This window comes from Homo sapiens, chromosome 6 (genome assembly GCF_000001405.40).
Source record: "Homo sapiens chromosome 6, GRCh38.p14 Primary Assembly".
NCBI lineage: Eukaryota > Metazoa > Chordata > Mammalia > Primates > Hominidae > Homo > Homo sapiens.
The window spans coordinates 149,014,202-149,034,624 of NC_000006.12; the positions used below are offsets into that span (position 1 = coordinate 149,014,202).

The 20,423-nt window shown below is 42.6% G+C and overlaps 1 protein-coding gene and 1 long non-coding RNA gene across 3 annotated transcripts in view, besides 2 other annotated features; one reads left to right on the forward strand and one right to left on the reverse strand.

Annotated features, from left to right (window-relative positions):
• The window catches only part of UST (uronyl 2-sulfotransferase), a 329,961-nt gene that overhangs the window by 267,172 nt on the left and 42,366 nt on the right, over nucleotides 1–20,423 (forward strand). Inside the window, exons 6-7 of one of the 2 annotated variants that reach the window (NM_005715.3) lie at nucleotides 4,938–5,035; nucleotides 7,123–7,280. In NM_005715.3, the coding sequence (NP_005706.1) occupies nucleotides 4,938–5,035; nucleotides 7,123–7,280 (256 nt within the window). Of the gene's footprint in view, nucleotides 1–4,937; nucleotides 5,036–7,122; nucleotides 7,281–20,423 lie in introns of those variants that run through there. The other variant, XM_047418047.1, reaches the window with a different exon arrangement.
• Nucleotides 418–972: an enhancer, noted in NCBI's record as "OCT4-NANOG-H3K27ac-H3K4me1 hESC enhancer chr6:149335755-149336309 (GRCh37/hg19 assembly coordinates)". NCBI's record gives its function as "activates a minimal SCP1, AML or CMV promoter by ChIP-STARR-seq in primed H9 embryonic stem cells {active_cell/tissue: H9 hESC(primed)}" and the evidence as "EXISTENCE:reporter gene assay evidence [ECO:0000049][PMID:30033119]".
• On the reverse strand, nucleotides 13,028–18,460 carry UST-AS2 (UST antisense RNA 2). Its single transcript, NR_134599.1, has 2 exons — nucleotides 18,324–18,460; nucleotides 13,028–13,579 (listed from the first exon to the last, which is right to left on the reverse strand). It is a non-coding gene; the product is annotated as a UST antisense RNA 2 (long non-coding RNA).
• Nucleotides 18,864–19,053: an enhancer, noted in NCBI's record as "active region_25240". NCBI's record gives its function as "activates an Ori minimal core promoter by ATAC-STARR-seq in GM12878 lymphoblastoid cells {active_cell/tissue: GM12878}" and the evidence as "EXISTENCE:reporter gene assay evidence [ECO:0000049][PMID:35858748]".

Here is a 20,423-nt window from a genome sequence, read left to right on the forward strand (position 1 = left end):
AGCCCTCATGTGGGTGAAGCAAGTGCCGATACACAGAGGAGCCCCTGCAAGGTGGGTGGGAAGGTTATTTCAGGATGCCAGGAGCACTCAGGCCAGCTTGGAAGTCCTTTCATGGGCACCATGAGGAAGTCTGTCCACTTCTAAAAGAATTCTGGCCACTCCCAATGTTGGGAGCAGATCTAGCCTAAGAACTAGAACTAGGTTAGAGTGCCAGGTCCCAGCTGATGGATGAGGTTCCAGACAGACCCCACTCCTGGAGACATTTGGGTTCCAGCCAACAGGGAAGAGAGTATGCGATGTGGCACCTGAGCCCTGTCCCAGGGACCCCATCTGCCAGATGTGGCTGGCAGTGAATGGCCAGCATGGAAGGAAGCCCATGGTCCTATCTGTCTCCTTTTCCTGGACCCAAGTGAGCGCTAGCCCAGGTGGACTGGAGTATGTTAACTCTCCCCGCCAGAAACCTGGGCCTGCTATTGAGACTAGGTGAGGAGGGAGGTGGCAAGGGAGAGGAAGAGCAAAGGCATGAGATGAATTACCTAATACACAGACAGCTCATGAAGAGTGACCATCCTCTCAGAGTCACCAGAGTTTCTTTCAAATGCAGATTCCTGGCCCTGCATATCAAATGCCCTGGAAGTCTGGCCAGGGAAATCACAGTTTGTATCAGGTGCCCCATTGTTATCCCTGTTGCACTGTCAATAGGAGTCCTCCAAGGAGAGCAAGGAAGTGCAGACTGGGGCACCTCTGGAGGCTGCACACAGGGAGGAGAGGTGGAAGGAAGAGCTGCTGGCTGAGAAGCTGCTGTCATCATCCTGTGGGGGTGAAGAGGGGGTGTGGGAGTAAGGGTGAGAGAGGCCTCAGGAAGGACTCTCTGGAACTGGAGGCAGTGACTGGAGTTTCCTCTGAGACCAGCCGGCCCTTTAGACTCAAAAGATGAGAGTCACCCATCACCATCCATCTGGTGGAAACATTACAGGAGCAAGTGGATAAAAGACGATTTTGCTGTAAGATCAGAACGGAAAAAGACGAGCCCACAAAGAAAATCTAGAGGGAGGAAAGCATATGGTTTTTAAAATAGTACAGTTTAGAATACATTGCAACACAAATGGATTAATTTTTGTACAGTGTTGGCAATGAAAAGGATTCTCATAGTTATCTGGAATGCTTACTCAGAGAGATGATCTCATTTCCCTAATAATGCAAAATCTTGAGCAGCGTGGGGTCTTATGTTAAGACCCAATGATAAAAAGGGCTAGACTTGGCAGGGAAGGGCACTGCAGGGGTGCCCATGGTGTGTGCCAAGACTCAGGAACCAGAGGAGCAAGTCGTAGATCAGGTGCTGGCAAGCAGGCTGGCTTGGCTAAAGTCATCAATGCAGTGACAATCTTAAACAAAAGTTTGAAATCCATATTAAATGTTTTTTTTTCTTTTTTAAAAAAGCAATCTTACCCTAGAAGCACTACATGGAAGGAAAAAATGAAGTTGCGTAATCATTTAGAAAATATATGTGCTGAGAGAACTTTAGTATTAAAAGGTGATTGTAAAACAATGCAGGATAATAAATCTTAGACCAAAGATAAATCATGAACACCAGGGCAACCAAATGGTCCTAGGAGACTGAAAGGCATCCGTCAGAACAGGCCACTGTAAGTGCAGCTCATTGGTCTCATTTAGTTTCCCAGGAGGCTGAAATGTTGCTCACTGAAGGTCTCGGTTCTGCTAAGAGTGGACTGGGTAGGAGGTGCCAGGAGCAGTTTCCTGCAGGCCCCTGGTCCTCAGGCTGCCAGGCAGCAGCATCCCCATTTATTGTGGTTGTGGCCAAGCAGTTGGCAGCTCCATGCCTGGGGCTTCTCAGCTCATTTCTGCTTCCTCTGGATCTTCCGGTCCAGTCATCTTTATTTATATCCTCCTATAGCATCACCATAGATGGGTTGTGATGAATGCCGTTCATCAACCTAATGGGCTCAAATGGAACTCTTTGAAATCCCCCAGGATGCGTCTTGGTCTAAGAAAAGAATTGTTAACTGCACTTTTAAAACTAGGAATTTATGTCTTCCTATAAATTGACCTCGTGAGGTTATTTGTGGATTCCAATAGGGAAGTGGCCTTCTTAGGCCCCAGTGCCTCCTCCGCCCTCCCCTCACCAGCCAGCTGATGCCCTCTGTCTACTCCTATGAGCCCGGGGTTGCTGAGGACAAAACCCTGGCAGGGTCAGCAAATGGAAGAGGTGTCTGCTTCCTTTCTTGCTCTGGAGCAGTGTGCCTTGTCTCTCTCCTTCTGCCATTTATTCACTCACTCATTCAGTATCTATTGCACTCCTGCTTTAGTCCAGGCAGGGTGCTGAGCACTGGAGATGCAGTGAACAGTCTGTGCTCTGAGGGACCTACAACCTAAACAAATAAGCACACAAGTACTTGCTCAAGGGCAGCTCTGGAGAAGCAGCAGGTGCCATGAGAGCCTCTGTAGGAGGCTCTGGCGGTCTCTGATGCCCTGCTCCTCCTGTTAATGCAGGACTCTGGGGGGCTGACTGCGTATGTGACAGTTCTTTGGATGTTCCCCATCACTTTACTCCGTCCTTCTTTGTGAAATCTCGACCTCAGCAGATGAACACTGTCCTGGCCAGAATCACCCTAGGCTCTGCTTCTCACCCAGCTCCTGGCCCCCTCCCTGTTGCCACTGCTGCAGAGGGAGGCCACCAGGGTTATTGGGTCCCTCGGACTAAAGGCTCAGGTTCCAAGGGGAGGCCAACTACCAGAGGACACCCTCAAATGTGAGCAGGGCAGGGGGCTCAGAGCATCCTCAAGGCAAAGCACAGGCACCCGCCCGCACAAGCTTTGGTTTGTTTCACAGTGTGTAAATCTCTGTACAGTTTTCTCACAATAAATGTAAGATGCAGCCGGGCACAGTGGCTCACGCCTGTAATCCCAGCTCTTTGGGAGGCCGAGGCGGGCGGATCATGAGGTCAGGAGATGGAGACTATCGTGGCTAACACGGTGAAACCCCATCTCTACTAAAAATACAAAAAATTAGCCGGGTGTGGTGGCGGGCACCTGTAGTCCCAGCTACTCGGGAGGCTGAGGCAGGAGAATGGCGTGAACCCGGGAGGTGGAGCTTCCAGTGAGCCGAGATCACGCCACTGCAGTCCAGCCTGGGGGACAGCAAGACTCTGTCTCAAAAAAAAAAACAAAAAAAGTAAGATGCGTACATTGTAATAAAAGCTAACACTTCAAAAAAGGAATAAGGAAAAATTCAGTATATTCTCATCTTCCTTTATGCCAACCACCAGAAAAAACTGCTTTCAATCGTGTGCTGTGTCTCCTTCCAGATCCTTTTGTGTTTATGTAAACATGTTGATTTTTATATTGTCCTACATGTTTATATTGTCCTGTAGTCTATACTTTCATTCACTTGAAAATTTATCCAAGACTTTTCAGGATAGCACACACAGATCCTTCTCATTTTTTCCAGGTATCCAGTATTTCAGTGTGTGAATGTACCATAATTTCTCTTAAAACCAATCCCCCGTTCGTGAACATGTAAATTCTGCCATATTTTGTTGTAATAAATAAACTCATTGCAGCAATGAATATCCATATATACACACACACACACACACACACACACACACACACACACATCTGTCAGTGTCAAACTCTTCTTAGAAAGGTATTTCAGGTCTAGTGTCTTGCATTTTAATGGGTTTTCATACACAATGAGATGCTCTTAATCACCCTCACCACATGGCTGGACAGACATATGCACCCCCCTATTCACTTCTCATATGTTCCTCCCTGGAAACTGCACCTCCGCCTCTCATGGTAAACTCAAGTGCTTGAGTACTCTCAATTGTGTTTTTTGCAGATTCTGTTTATTTCCGTTGAATTTGTTATTGTAATTGTGTAATTTACTTAATTGGCATATAAACTGAAGAAGTATGAGGGGATTATTGTTTTTAAGAAAAAGCATAAATTATATTTCTCTCATTCCCAATTTGAACTAAAAAAATTGTTACTAGCTAAACACCCACACCTAAACACCTACACCCACACATGTATATCAGATACAGTAGCTTCTACCGACTCATAATTTCATCAACCATATTTGGGAGTTGTGTCCAGTCTTAATCTGCCTTGCCAGTATAGTCTCTGGAAAAACATCCTACAGCTGTTTGGTTTATTTGTAGATTGAGTTATCTTTTCTCCTTAGAAATACCTGAGAATGAGGCATGTCTTATTTAGAATCTCTAATATGATCTACCTTGATAAAAGTTGGTTTTGAGCCCTTCTGCTTACCCCCACCAAGCCATTTCAAGCTCTGGTAACGCCCTCAGAAACACCATGTCCAACCTCATATAAGAGAAATGGAAAACCTGGACGTCACAACTGTTGCCTTTGAAAGTGAGAGGGTGTCTGTATATAAACATCCTGCTACTTTTTAAGCTAATATAGTGTTAGAAGTGATTTTACAGCTCCTCTAAAATTTGCAAACTCTTATGAGACTATTGTAGGTACTTAGTTGTTGGATGCATGGATACACAGAGAAGCCCTAAATTCATGCAACAAACATTTATTAATTGCCAACTGTATACCTACTAATTGGCTGGCAACTGGTGGCGCCACCACGAAGCACAGTGGGTACCACTGTTCTCCCAAGGCCTGTGACCAAACTTAAGACTCGGAGCCACCAGGAAGTGCAGAGATGCAGTTTACTCAACAGAGCATGCACTCTCTAAAATGGCCCAGCCCTGTGTGTGCCTGGCCAGTGGAGCAGGATGCTGGGAGGCAAAAAATAAGTTTTCTCATGAAATCTGTGAATTCTCTTCATCTTCTCAAGGCGTGCCTGTGTAATTCAATCATGAATTTTACTTAAACTGTGTGGCATTTGATAGAGCCTTGCAGAGACTACAAGACATCTGACTGCTGTATTTTCTCTTCTAGGATATCAATGAGTGTATTCTTGAAAACTATCCCGAGTGCTCCAACCCCAGGTTATTTTACATCATTCCGTACTTTTGTGGACAGCATCCCAGATGCAGGTAAGGGCTAAAGCAGGGTCATGGCATGCACGTACGCACAACAAGGGCAAGAACCCCACCAGCCTGGTACTCGGTGGGAATCTTTTGTATCCCTAGTCTCTCAACCTTCTGGAATTCAGTTCCTGTTTACTATTAATCTTTCAAGATAATATTTGAGACTCCAAATGTCCTATAAATAATGAAATTTAAAAATCAGGGTCTGTAGAGGCCTCAGGAGACCACCATATAAAGCTTTGTAACTGGAACCAAACCCTTGTTTATACCTAAAACATACTTGTCACTACTCATCCCATGTTGTTTGTCTTTCTCTTTGGATAAAATGACAAAATGTCACATAAAATGTGATCGTGAAGACCAGGAGCGAACACCCAGCCTGCTCCTGTACAGTGACTGACTTAACCAACAACCTGCCCTCGTAGCATGTGTCACTGGGTCTGAGACACTGGAAGCCCACACCTCAATCCCATAGTGGATATACTTAGTAGGCAGAGAAGAAAGTGTTTTATAATGATCACCTGTCAACCTTACTTGAAGGCACAACCTTCTTTAGAGAGTGACTTACTCAGATAGTCAGGACCCCCAGGGTGTGATCTGCCCAGGTCCTGCATCAGCACCCCTGTATACTTGTTAAGAACCCCCACCCAATCATAGTCTCGTGTGTAGCAGCCTCCCCAGATGCTTCTGGCGTAGCTATAGTTGAAATCTACTGTGCTAGACAAATGTCATAGCCTGGAGAAGAAATGGCAGCAACAATGAAGCATTATATTTGCTTGGTAGGAAATCAACCCCTGCTATCAGAAGTGACATTATTCCCCAAAGGAAACATTAACTAGAGGGTCCTTGTGTTTCTGAAAAGGCCAAAGGAGAACTGCTACTTCTACACCGGCAACGCATTCATTGTACCTTTTTGCTTATGCTATGATTTCTGCTTCGTTTTTAGGCGTATTGTTGTTATTCCTGTCTTGTTTCATTTGCCATAACAAAAGAGTTTGCTTATAGTCCAAATTATAGAACTAGGAGTGTTGGTTTTTGACTTCACCATAAGCCCCCTGAGTCCAGGTGGCCTCTCCCCTGCCCCCGACCCTTGCCTCAATAACAAATACCTCCTGGTTAACATTTAGTGCTTCAGGTATTGGGAAGATTTGGGGCTGGATGACTCACTTGCTGATCACAGTGAATATCTTTATAACAGGAAACATGATTTGAACTCCCTAAAGTATTTTTTAAATCGTGTAGTATTTTTCAGATTTTTGAATTTTCTAATCTTGGAGAGGTGACTCATGACACCACACCTTGATACACACACAATGATTTTTATAACTCTTTCATCATATCACCTTGCACAGTCTTTACAACAATGCTTTGAACTAGGTAAGGGTGATTTTTACCATTTTTCAAAAGAGAACCCTGGCTTGCCCAATTCCCCCAAATGATAAATGACAGCCAGGCCTGGAGCCCCACTCCCGGGCTTTTCTCACTCGCCTTAGTGTCAGTTCAGAGAGCTGGCCTACAAATCAGCTCTCTGATTTTTACAAATTAGGCTGTTTTCCTTCTGCAATCTAGACAAACAAAATAAAACAAAACAAAAATCCAAAGATTCCTCTTTAACTCTTCCAAAGAATAAGATGATTAATAGGCATGACCTGACAGCTCTTTTGAGTTCTACATAAATACTATGTCGGTAAGTTTCATATTTCAAAACTCCTAAATTCATTTAATTGGTTCAGTTTGGTCCTCCTATTAAAAAACCATTCTACTCACCCCTTGATTAGTATTTGTTAGAACCTAACTGCTTGTGCCTGCATTCATTCGTCCACAATACTTAGGCAGGGCCTCTGAATTCAAGGCCCTGGGCTTGGCATGAAGCATGGATGAAAGTGACAGAGAAGGAATGGTGAGCAGGGCAGGACACCAGTTGGAAGGACTGGGAAGGCCCTGGATGGGGCTACATCTGGGCTGGTCCTTGAGGGAAACAGGATTTGGACTTATGCAAGTGAAGGTGGGAGGTAGAGGGGGTAAACTCTCAGCATCTTGCTGCATTTCAAATATGAATGTCTGATTTTAAATAAATTTTTATATCCATAAAGGGAGCCTGGTGAATGGGCCCTTGAGAGAGCAAAGCTGAACGTGAATGAAAACTTCCTGCTCGTGGGGATTCTTGAAGAGTTGGAAGATGTGCTGCTGTTACTGGAAAGATTTTTACCTCATTACTTCAAGGGCGTGCTCAGTATCTACAAAGACCCAGGTAACTTCATTTGTAAGCAAGCTCTTCTCCATGAGAGGTCTGTGTCCAGGGCTACTCACCTTGAAAAGGCCTCAGGAAATAAAGGAGTGAAATGATCTCTTCTGATGACAAAGGGCAGTTAGTTCCCTGGGCTTGCAAAGGAAAGTTAGAACCAGGAGCTGCAGATGCCAAAATCTTGAGCTTCATGTTCAGACATAAAAGCACCATGTTCCAAAGGCTTAATGGCTCCATTTCTCCCTATGGAAACTGAAATTGGCAACATTCTCCATCAGCCTTGTCTTGAGCATGTTGCTGGAAACTGAAACTGGCAACATTTTCCATCAGCCTTGTCTTGAGCATGTTGTTGGGGTGGGTACAAATGAATCCGTGTGTGTGCACCTGGACTCCATTGATGGAAACATGCGTGAGTATGAAAGAGCCATCCTTGTGATGAATTCTCTCTGGCCCAACTTCCATTTGATAAAAGCACTCTAGTGTATCAAATCCTGACAGTGGAATAGATAGAGCAGCAAATTGAAAATACAATTATGATTTTATCCTAACAAACCGAGTGGTCCCCAAATAGCAGCAAGAAATAGAATGTGGCAAAGCAATTACAAGGGCTGCCTGTGGTATCATCGTAAGTATAATTACTTTCAGAAATCCATCATTTATTTTTTCATTGTCATTTTATCCAAAGAGAAAGACAAACAACGTTGTTTGTTTTTTCCTATTCTCCTTAATCTACTGCTGTGACAACAAGCCTTGAATACACATTCAGTGATCTGTTTATTGTTCTGTTTTGTTGTCCTGAGATGGAAGAAGGCATTCTGCCCTGTAGAAATAAGCAGCAGATAGGCCCGGTGCGGTGGCTCATGCCTATAATCCCAGCATTTTGGGAGGCCGAGGCAGGTGGATCACCTGACGTCAGGAGTTCGAGACCAGCCTGGCCAACACGGAGAAACCCTGTCTCTACTAAAAATACAACAATTAGCCAGGTGTGTTGGTGGGAGCCTGTAATTCCAGCTACTCGGGAGGCTGAGGCAGGAGAATCGCTTGAACCTGGGAGGTGGAGGTTGCAGTGAGCCAAGATCGCGCCACTGCACTCCAGCCTAGGCGACAAGAGCGAAACTTCATCTCAAAAAAAAGAAAGAAAGAAAGAAGGAAGCAGCAGATGAAAGCTCCCCAAATGCAGTCTGCTGCCTCACATTCCACAGGGTTCCCGAACCCCACCTGCATCACTGGTAGGTCCCAAGGCCCAGGGAAACTGGTCTTTGCCCAGAGAGCCCTGGATCCCGTTGCACAAGGTCAAGGTGGCCCTACCACCATCAGGGACTTGCTGAAGGAAGGTGGATAGTTGGTGGAGGCTGCCTTAGCCTCCCAGCTCTCATTAGAGTTCAAATCCCATTTACCTGAGTGGGGTTGTGAAACTAGGATTTCCTTTGTCTTTTCAACAACAAGCCATTTAAAGAGTTTATAGAATTTTAATGTAAAGAGTTTGATGTGACTGATTTTTATTTCTAGAAGACAACATAAACTCCGTTCTTTGTGCAAGGAGAGGTCTTATCCTAAATTAGACTCCTTTGAAGAAGAAAGGTTTATGTTAATCATTTTCTCCTTTTGGCTTTATCTTGTTCTATGGTGTGTGTGTGTGTGTGTGTGTGTGTGTGTGTGTGTGTGTGTGTGTGTGGTGTGGTGTGGTGTGTGGTGTGTGTGTGTCTAATACACAGTCTGAGATAAAGGGCAAACTAAATCCTGGTGACACATAAGATGAACACTCTCCATAAAAGATATTATGGCTTCCAACTTTGTTACTGTCTGCTCAGTCATTTGCTCTGAGAGAGATCAGCTGCTATGGATGAAGAGAGGTTCACATAGTGAGGAACTGAGACCTCAGACCAAGAGCCACGTGTGTGAGCCATCTTGGGAGCAGCTACTATGACCCCAGTCAAGCCTTCAGATAACTGCAGCCCCAACCAACATGTTAATGGCTGTCTCATGAGAGATCCCAAGCCAGGACCACCCAACTAAGCTACCCCTGAATTTCTGACCCTCAGAGCCAGTGTACGAAATAAATGTATGTGTTTTTATTTTATTAATATTGTTTATTTTAATGAGCACTCTCTTGTCCCAGCATTTGGGAGGAGGAGCCAACGTGAGAGTCCTCTTCCAGTTACATCACCATCCATCCTGAGGTCTGGAACACACACCATTCACAGGATGCAAAACCCAGCACAGGGGTTGTGGACCTGAGAACCTAGATGAGGGTATTTTTATCTTCATGCTTTTGAATACAGATAAACCACCTATAAAAAGCTTAGCCCAGAGGACCCACTTAGTGGCTCTTGTCGTGGTATATCATATTGACTTCCTATTTTCTCCATTTAAATATGTGTCTTCTCAGAAATTATGGGCCTTTATTCCGTGATCTGAAAGTTCGTTAATTCAAGGAGAAAAGATTTCTGAAAACCAAGTTACTATTAACTCTTTTACCTTCAGCCATGATCTTTCCACCTATAAATTAAAGATTATTTTTCCCTCAGAGTTTGGCATAGTAAATATCTCAAAGAGAATAAAGGACATCTGGTTTTCCTGTGTAGTGGGATGAAAGGTTTCCATAAGCCAGGCCACTTGGCCAGTCCACGTGGTCCAGCTGGACTAGCGGTTAAAACAGTGAAACACTTCTATACGGCCTTCAGGGTGCACCTGCCAGCCTGGCTGCCCGTCCTTGTTACCCCCGCCTTTTCCAACAGTGATGTAACGGAAGGACTAATTCATGGCACAAGAGGGATCTTCAGGACCCCGGGCCAGTGTCACACTCAGTGACTGTTCTGAGTTCAGTTCTTGAGTGGAGCTGGTTGTCAAATACTTTAAATATCACCCTAGCATAACTCTCTCAGCTGCCACACATTATATGCCCAATAAAATGAACCTTTGAGTTGTTGCTTCAGTAACTTCTACTGTGTTTTGTGTTCTCTTGGGCATCTTCTTGTGATATGTTTCTATGGTAACATTGAAGACCAAGCTAGTCCACAGTTCCTCTATCCCAACAAGTTTCCGTGTCCCCTGAGGCAGAGGACAAGAGATCAACACACACTCCTGGCCAGTTTCTCAATATATTTTAGCCTCAGGGAAGACTTAGCACCCATATTGTTTTCTCATCACCACAACTGAGTTGGTGTCAAGTAGGTTAAAGAAAGAATAGCTGCAAGTTTCTAGTTACTTCACCATCTCATCTTTGTATTTTTAGTCTAAGTTCATGTCTTAGGGCATACTAAAATCATTACTCTTTCCCTTTATTGAAGAGTTTGATAACTGAGTAGATTAGAGAACAGAGAGAAGAAAAGCTAAAATCTAAGATACTGATTTAAGGGATCTAGTGACCCTTAACTCATTGTAGATTAACTAACCATCTGAAGAGCTGAATTAAGATGCAAAAACACCACTGGCCATTTTTCTTTGGTGTTTGTCCTGTTATTGAAAAACAAAAACAAAAAAAAAAATAGGAGTTTGCTGACTTCTGGTAACTCCTCTCTAGCAATACTAAAAATATGTATACCAGTCTCATTACAGAAGAAAAAACACTAATAGCAATGACTCTTTGGAGAGCTAGTAAAAATCGTAATGTCTGTTAGTCATATGGGTTGTCACTTATTTCAGATTGAAATGATATTCATTGATTCTTTCAAATCAATACTACCTGTCCCAATAACTCACCATTTAGACAGGTTAATAACCTTTCTCAATAACAGCGTAACTGTCTTTTCTTCTGTTCCTTTCTTGTAGAAATATATGCTGACATCAAGTAAATTTGTCTCCTACCAAAAATATTGGAGAAACTTAGCCTTTAGAACTTTTTTTAAACAGTCATTTTATGTTAATATTTGCATTTTATGGAGACAGAATAGAGTATCTCAGAAGCTTAGGATAGTAAGTACTTGAGATGAAATAAAAATTAGAGTTTTAGCAAGATGGATAACCAAGAGAATATGCTTGGTATTTCTTCCAGCCGGTGCGCAGCTGCTGATATTAGGACAAGTACTGTGGAGTGGGCATTCAGAAAACACTGCTCAATCCTGACCATGAGTTTGAATTAGGGAGCACCAAGGCCCCAGCAGGTTTACTCGGTAGAAGCAACCTCACTGGTTGAACATATACATAATTATTACATATGATCACATATGTCATCTTATACATAATTATTTTTTATTGATTAATCCTTATTATGTTTGTTTATTACTTATCACCTTTTAAAAATGAGAAACTGAGGCCAGGTATAGTGACTTGCACCTGTAATCCTACCATTTTGGGAAGCCAAGGCAGACAGATCACTTGAGGCTAGGAGTTTGAGACTAGCCTGAGCAACATAGCAAAAGCTCGTCTCTACTAAAAATACAAAAAAAAAAGTCCAGGCGTGGTGGCTCACACCTGTAATCCCAGCACTTTGGGAGGCCAAGGTGGGTGGATCACGAGGTCAGGAGTTCAAGACCAGCCTGGCCAACATAGTGAAACCCCATCTCTACTAAAAATACAAAAAATCAACTGGGCATGGTGGCAGGTGCCTGTAATCCCAGCTACTCTGGAGGCTGAGACAGGAGAATTGCTTGAACCTGGGAGGCAGAGGTTGCAGTGAGCAGAGATTGCACCACTGCACTCCAGCCTAGGTGACAGTGTGAGACTCCATCTAAAAAAAAAAAAAAAAAAAACAGGCCTGATGGCATGTGCCTGTGGTCCCAGCTACTGGGCAGGCTGAAGTGGGAGGATCACCTGAGCCTTGGGGAGGTCGAGGCTGCAGTGAGCTATGATGATCGCACCCATTGCACTCTAGCCTAGGTGACAGAGCAAGACCTTGTTTCAAAAATAAAATAAAAGTAAAAATGAGAAACTGAAGCCAGCCCAGAGAAGTTGAGAGAATGATCCATAGTCATCCACAAAAATGTGTAAGTAAGGGGCAAGACTCACATATTTCTGAGCAGTGAATATTAATGTATTTCTGAACACTTTTTCTCCTTAACTCTTAAAGACATGCTGTGAGCCATCAGTATTTTTCTAGTCATAATTTTTAGGAGCTAAAATCTCAGTGGTGGTAAGGGCCAAAATAAATAAGCACATGAAAGACAAGGAACATGTGAATATGTGTAATAGGAACAGTCATATGAGCATCCCTCTATAAACCCTTGACTTGGCAAATAACCGAGCTGTTCTGGTTCAATAGCGCCACCTAGCATCCAGACATAGAACTCTATGACCTAATATTAACCCATTACCTTCTCCCTTCCTAGCGACTTGAAAACTCATGTGTCCAATCCTTTTACTTTGTGTTTTAAATACTTTCCATGACTAGCACTACATTAGTATTCATTTTCAACACGTTTCCATTACAAATGTAAACACTGGAGCCACAGTAGGGAATTTACTAGACTTTTGTGGGCTGCCTTAAGAATATGGTCACCAACTATTACAAAGGAAAAATATGTAACAAATTCCAAACGAGTGACTTAAATCCTAACTTTGAGGATTTAAGTTCATTTATAAGCTAAGTGCTTTGTTTGGAATATTTATACTTAAATAGTTTTATAAACAATCACAGAGTACACATTTAAATATTATGCTTTTTTTTTTTACTATGCATGAATGATAAATTAGACCTCCCATTAGAAGGATGGTAGTGTGCTCACTGATTTCATTGACGTTGCAGTTTTCAATTTTGAGGATATTTGCTAGAAAATGATAACAAATATGTAGAAGAAAACTTTTAAATACTATGCTACAGAAATAATTCAAATTTTAATCCATCAATAAAAATATCAGCCTGAGTTCTATACTAAATAATAAAAGCTTGGCCTATTTATAATAAAGAACAGTTATTCTTTAAGGAAAGGACATTGAGTTGGGAGTTAGGAGGAACTTCTAGTTCTTTGTCTGCCATGGGTCTGCCCATATGACCAGGGGCAAATCCAGTTTTCAAGTGGATGGTCTTTAAGATCTTATTATTCTAATACCAGTGTATCATGTAGAATGTTTTAAGGCTGCTTGTTCTGTCTTTTGTTACTTAGCACAATTATGGGGTGCTTTTACCCCCTCAAAAATATTCCTAGGCAGTCCCCATTGCCTTAGTAATCCTCAAGTTTAGTTGTGGGGGTGGTCTCCACCTCTTCGTGTCCTCTAGGACAGGATGAAATCCTAGCTGGAGAGTTCCTCCTTCAGAATGTGTTCTTCCCTGGAGCTGCTGATGCTCAAGTGATCAAGACAGGGGTCCCAACTCCAACTCTCTGGTCACAATTTCCATCCCTCTCTCTTCATAACACACACACACACACCTGTGGAGAAGACAGTATGTCATAATGCAGTCAAATGCTCTACCACTGAGTTATCCCCCCATCTTTTTTTTTTTTTTTTTGAGACAGAGTTTCACTTTTGTTGTCCAGGCTGGAATGCAATGGCACGATCTCGGCTCACTGCAACCTCTGCCTCCTGGGTTCAGGCCATTCTCCTGCCTCAGCTTCCCAAGCAGCTGGGATTACAGGCTCCCACTACCATGCCCAGCTAATTTTTGTATTTTTGGTAGAGACGGGATTTCACCATGTTCATCAGGCTGGTCTTGAACTCCTGACCTCAGGTGAGCCACCTGCCTCGGCCTCCGAAAGTGCTGGGATTACTGGCGTGATCCACCGCGCCCGGCCTAGTATGTCATAATGATTAGAGCACAGGCTCTGAGATAGATAGCCCGCATGCTAGACCCCCTCCTCCACTTAACTGCATAACCAGAGGCAAGGTATAGCCCCTCTAAGCCTCAGTTTCCCCATCTGGATAAGATGCATAAATAATCTTATGTACTTCATAGGTTCTTGTGAGTCTTGCATGATCAATCCATGTAGAGTCCTTAGCCCAGCCTTACTATATGGTGAGTGTTCAGTAATTAGCCTGCCCACCAAGCCCATCACAGGAGAGACAGGGCTGTCCCTGAGAGAAACTGGACTGGAGGTTCTCTTTGTAACTTCTAGGTGAAAGAAAGAGGAAAAAATTGGAAGGAACAAATGAAGGAAATGATTATCCTTGACCTGTTTCACCAGTTACAGCTGATACATTACAAGGAAATCTCATGCCTTTAAGAAACAATATTTCTGTATTACTGACTTGGGCAGAGAGGAACGAACAATTATATTCCAGTCAATAGCCTGTTCCAGAAACAATTGCAAGGAATAAGTTAAGTGGAAATATTACTACAGTGACATGCTAAGGGGCTGGAAGACACACATAATCCAAGTTAATGAGGTTTTTATGCCTGAACTCTTACCAGAAATATTAGGGAGCTAAGACTTTTCACTAAATGAAACCCACTGTTGAGACGTTATTGGGGCCAACTACCCTTAACTTATGCTGAATATTGAATTTTGCTGACTGTTATATTCCATGTTATTTAATAGACATAGAATGATAATAGAGTTTTTTTAAGTAAGATTCCTAAGATTCAGCTCTTGAAAAACTGTTTTCCATGTGCAGAATTACGTACTTCAGAACACTAAATTAATGAATTAATAACCTTTGTCCAGCAGGTGGCGATGTCTCTCCATTTTCTCAAGAAAGTGCACTAGGTTCCCTAATAGACTTTGCTCTGCAGACGGGAGTTTACATAACGCTTGAACACAGATGTACAATTATGTCCAATTTGAGGCCTAAAAATGAGATTTTTGGATATGAAAAGGATTCCAAGTCCAATTGATTGCAGTAGTTCAAACTGCACTTTATGAAAGCCAGTGGAGACTAGGGGAAGAGGGTGGAGTTTTGCAATCAAATAAGTTTATGTGAGTTAAAAGTATATACATGTATATCTAAATTATATATAAAGTATATGTAATATATAATGTATATATTGTACGTTATATATTATATATAAATTATATGTAATATATAATGTATATATTGTATGTTATATATTATATATAAAATATATACATTATATTGTATACATTATATTATATTATATTATATATACATTATATATTATATATATAATGTATATATAATATATAATGTATATATTATATAGATACACCACTAACTCTGGCTTTAGTTTTAAAAACTAACATTTTAGAAAGCCTGAATTAAACAAATTCTCTCTTTCATTTTTAATTTCCATTTTTATTTTCCACTTCTATTGCTTCTGTGCTGCAGCAAAACTCAAAAATATTCTGGAAACTCCCAAGTATACAATGATGGTTAGGAGGAATTCAGATTAGCTATTTTTAGAAGGCAATTAAGTTGTTTTTAAAAACTCAGTTTTCATTGATGAAAACAGGACTCCAATTTGCTATTGGTTCATTTACCATCGATATTCTCTATAAAGATTTTTTTTTCACCAGCCATGTCCCAGGCTCAGATCCTAATAATGTCAGCACTGGATCTTGTGTGTGTGTGTGTGTGTGTGTGTGTGTGTGTGTGTGTGTGTGGTGTGTGCACCTACCCATGTTCAAACAACTAGACTCCTTATTATATAGCACTCATACATGATGCAATCATCTTAAGATCACAAAATCAGTAAGTTTCTAAGTCATAATTACTTGTATAACAATATGCAGTTATAAAACACTTTCATATAGATGATCTCATTTGATTCTTACACAAATCCCCTGAAGTTGAGGAAGACAATTTTTTTTTCTCATTTTCTAAACAAGGAAACCAAGGCTCAAAGAGGCTGAACAACTTGCTCACAGTCTCGCCAAGTCCTAAGGGACAGCACTGACATTCACGCTTCTGTCCCCAGGCCCATCACAAAACATAAATCTGTGATTCCTCTAAAACTCTTCTTTATATTTAATCATTAATTCAGAAGTTAGTGAGTACTAAGCATTCATAGTATGTATTGCCATTAAAGGCAAGAGCTTAAAAATAAAATCTAGGCTGGGCACTGTGGCTTATACCTGTAACCCCAGCACCTTGGGAGGCCAAGGCAGGAGGATCACTTGAGCCTAGGAATTCAAGACCAGCCTGAGCAACAGCAAGATCCTGTTTCTACCAAAAAAAAAAAATTAAAATTAAATATATAGTTTATCTCTGTCCAACGTATCTGTCTGTTCACTAAGAAACATGAGTTTAGGAATCATCATAGATGATTGTTTTTAAAAACTCAATTATCATTGATGAAAACAGGACTTCAATTTGCTATTGGTTCATTTACCATCGATATTCTCTATAAAGATTTTTTTTTTCAGCAGCCATGTCCCAGGCTCAGATCCTAATAATGTCAGCACTGGATCTTGTGTGTGTGTTACCTTAACACACACACAAGATGTGTTATCTTAAGCCAGTGTGTTATCTTAAGCCAGTACGAGGCAATACACACAGAAAAAAATAATTTTGAGAATAGATCTGTTTGACAACACCTGACGTCTTTCCAGTGGGGGTTGCGGGGACGTAGGGAATAGCAGTGCAAGGTCTTTAAGATAGTGTCTAAAAATCTAAGCTGGGCTGGGCATGCTGGCTCATGCCTGTAATCTCAACATTTTGTTAAGCCAAGGCAGGTGGATCACAAGGTCAGGAGTTCGAGACCAGCCTGGCCAACATGGTGAAACCCCATCTCTACTAAAAATACAAAAATTAGCCAGGCATGGCAACACATGCCTGTAATCCCAGCTACTCAGGAGGCTGAGGCAGGAGAATTGCCTGAACCCGGAAGGTGGAGGTTGCAGTGAGCTGAGATCGAGCCATTGCACTCTAGCCTGGGCCACAGAGCAAGACTCATCTCAAAAAAAAAAAAAAAAAAGTCTAAGCTGAAGGCATATAACTGGTTCAGCTGTAGCTACTGGGCAAATAGTTCATTAAAAATGAACACATAATGTAAACCCCTTTAACTTCTAAACACTTGTGATTTTTTTTAGTGAACATTTTTCTGAGGGGAACTGTATAACCACAGGCTGATAACATCATTCAGTTTACAGAAACATCACCAATTCACAAGAATTCAGCCTCTAGGCTTGTTTAATTTACTTTATGAAAGCTTAAATTGCAGCATAATATATGTGCGTTTGGCCTATTTCAACTATTACTCTTTGTTTTATTGGAAAACATGTTTTACTCTTGCTTACTGATTTGTTCTTGCGTTGGGATCATCTCTCCTCCAGGAGAAAGCATTTCCAATTTTATTATGAAAGATTAACAGGAAAATAGAACTTCCTTCACAGACATTGATGTTCTAGGAATAACTTTACAAAAATATTTCTCTTCTCTGAAAACTAATATTTAAATAGGTGTAATCTGAAACTACCAGAAAAATTCAACAAACACCTCCAGCAAATAAATAGCTGAGTGTCTGTGATGTCCCTTTCCTGGGGAAGGGCAGTATAAAGATGAAAATCTTGTCTAGCTGGAAGGCCGTCACTAACAGGGCTGGGGCGCATAACCCTGTGGAGACATTTGTGCCCGGCCTTAAAGGGTGCGTAGGAGTTTGCCAAGTGGACGTGGAAGGAGGCATTTTAATAAGAGGAAAATAACATGATTGGAAGCGTGGAGGTGAGAAAGCATAGAAGCACTCAGAGTGAGGAGAGCTGGGGCTTGGGCCAGCCCACGTCAGCCCCTGCCTGCGGACCCAGCCTCTTGGAGCCAGGCTCACTCACCCTGCCTTTAAGACGGCCCTACCAGAGGCAGGAGAAGGATCCGCAGCCTCAGCTTTCTGTGGCGCAACCTGGCACTGAGTCACTCATACCAATCTCAGCGCCAGTGGCCAAGCCGCTGCTGCCGGAGGGCCTGTGTCACCCTCCCCCCGTTTCCCTGCCCTCTTCCCATCCTACCACCACCCAAGCTCCCTGGCTTCCTAACAGTGTGGCAGGGATCCTCCCAGGCCCCCATCCTCCTCCAGCCTGAGTTCTTCCTCCCTGCTGTCTTCCCAGTCTTCCCCACTAAGATCCCACCACCCTTCAGACCCGGGCTCACACCAGCTCCTGCTGGCCCCATGTGCCTCGCACCGAATACAGGAGGTCGCACACTGCATCCCCAGACACCAAGTACTGCCCTGCTTGACCACCTATGTTCCCCTGGGCCCACCAGCATGGACTCTCCTTCTGTTACCAGTCACTGCCTGATCCAGGCATGAGCTGCCTGTGTCCCCCGACATCATCCTCCTGGCACCATCCTCTGCTCTTCCTGGCCTTCTTCACTGGGAGCCTTCGGGATCATCCCTCCAGATCAAGTTCTTCCAGCCCCACCTCCCTCCCACCCTGTGCACCCAGGGAAATTCATCTCTTCTGGGTCCCAACCTTGGCCTCGGGAGAGCCCCAGATGCCCCCCTCTGTGTCTACCCCAGTTACTCAGTGTGGTCAGACTTGGGGGTTGTACAGTTTTCTGTCTCATGATTCATTTCCCCAGGCAAAAAGCTGGCTAATAATATCTGGGTGTGCGGGGGAGGTACCAGTGTGTTTCTGTGTTTGGAGGTGAATTTTTTTCTACTTTAGAATTTAATCACTTCTACTTTGAGCAGTTTTTAGCTGAGCTGACAGTAATATGCTCTGCATTGAGTATTTGTAGGGGGTGGAATTAGTCACCACAAATTTCAATTTTTGGACTTTCCTGATAACGCCACAAAGCTGAAAGGCTTCTAAAGCTTGAGCAAAGATTGGAAACTTGACCCCAGGGGTTGATGGTTGATCTTTATAAAAACGACCTTGTGGTCAGTTTGTTCTTTTATGCTTAAATTGTCAAGGTCCCTGTCCACCCCAGGAATTAATGTGGTGATGTGGAAAGAGCACTAGACAAAGGATTTCAAAACTGTCTTTGGGCCCTTGGCTCGTGGCCTTAGCTCTCTGACATTCTTTGCTTATAAAATGTACCCCCTGCCGGGGCGAAGTACAATCCTTACCCATTTTGCATGACTCAACATTTTATAATGGAAGCTTCTATTTTTGTCTGGCTAAATCTTTTTCAAATAAAAATATTTCTTGGTCTGTATATTTTTCATGTCTCAGACATTTTTATCAATACATAATGTCCTAGCTTTTCACATCTTGCAAATGGCACAGAATTGTGAAAGAATACAGCAAAAAGCTAGAAATATACCTGTGTATATAACATTGCTGGGGATTTTTATGTGTGGTTTCTTGTGGGTTCTAGTAAGCACGTTCATTTCATTACCTACAAACGCATAGAAAAATCCAACATAATCCCACACTGATGAGAAGAAGAGAGGGTTGTTTGTCAGGTGGGGTAGTTTCACTTGACTTGAAGGTCTCACCCCGCCCCTCGTCTTTACCATAGCATACGCTTCTAGATGCTTCTGCTGCATTGTCAACCAGACTCTACCAGAACTGTTTTTCAAAACATGTGTTCCTAGGATTTTACCTCCCTGCATTTTTTGCTATATCTATTAAGTAATGCATGTATATAATTAAAAATCAAATAGTCCTATAAGATGTATAATGAAAACCAGCAGTTTCCTATTCCAACCCTCCCAAAGATGAAGTCTGATGTTGCAGAGCCAATCACTTTCAGCGCAGCTAGATGTTTCTTCGGATAATCACCGCGCTATCTGTAACTAGTATGCACAGGCTGCTGTTTCTTGATTTACTGGGGTCATGATCTCATTCTCTTATTCCATTACCTTTACTTCTACTTCCTTGCTCCTCTCCATCTTCCTAAGATGGTCATACCCACATTTGAGATGCATGGTCCTGCTGACGTTGCTGTGACTATATACATTTTGTTGGCTGCTGATCAGAGTAGTACATCATGATTTTGTTTCATTTCTTGCACAACTTAATTGTTTTTCCTGGAATTATTTATTGCCTTCATTTATTTGCCTAGATTTATTTGTACCTATCAAAAATTTCGTATGTGCCAAAATTTTCGTATGTGCCATTAGATCTGCCGCATTCAGTATTACTTTTGGTATTATTTAAATATTAATTACCAGATAAGTATGTCAGTTCCATCCCAACCTGCCCTCCCTTCCCGCAGAGGCCCTCTCCTCTTTCCACCCAGAGCTCTTTAAGCTCCATCGCAGCCTGCCCTCCCTTCCCCCAGAGGCCCTCTCCTCTTTCCACCCAGAGCTCTTTAAGCTCTATCCCAGCCTGCCCTCCCTTCCCCCAGAGGCCCTCTCCTCTTTCCACCAAGAAAGCTCCTGCTCCTAGTATATCTGGGTTCATTACTCTAAACACAGCTTTACTGCAGCTTCCC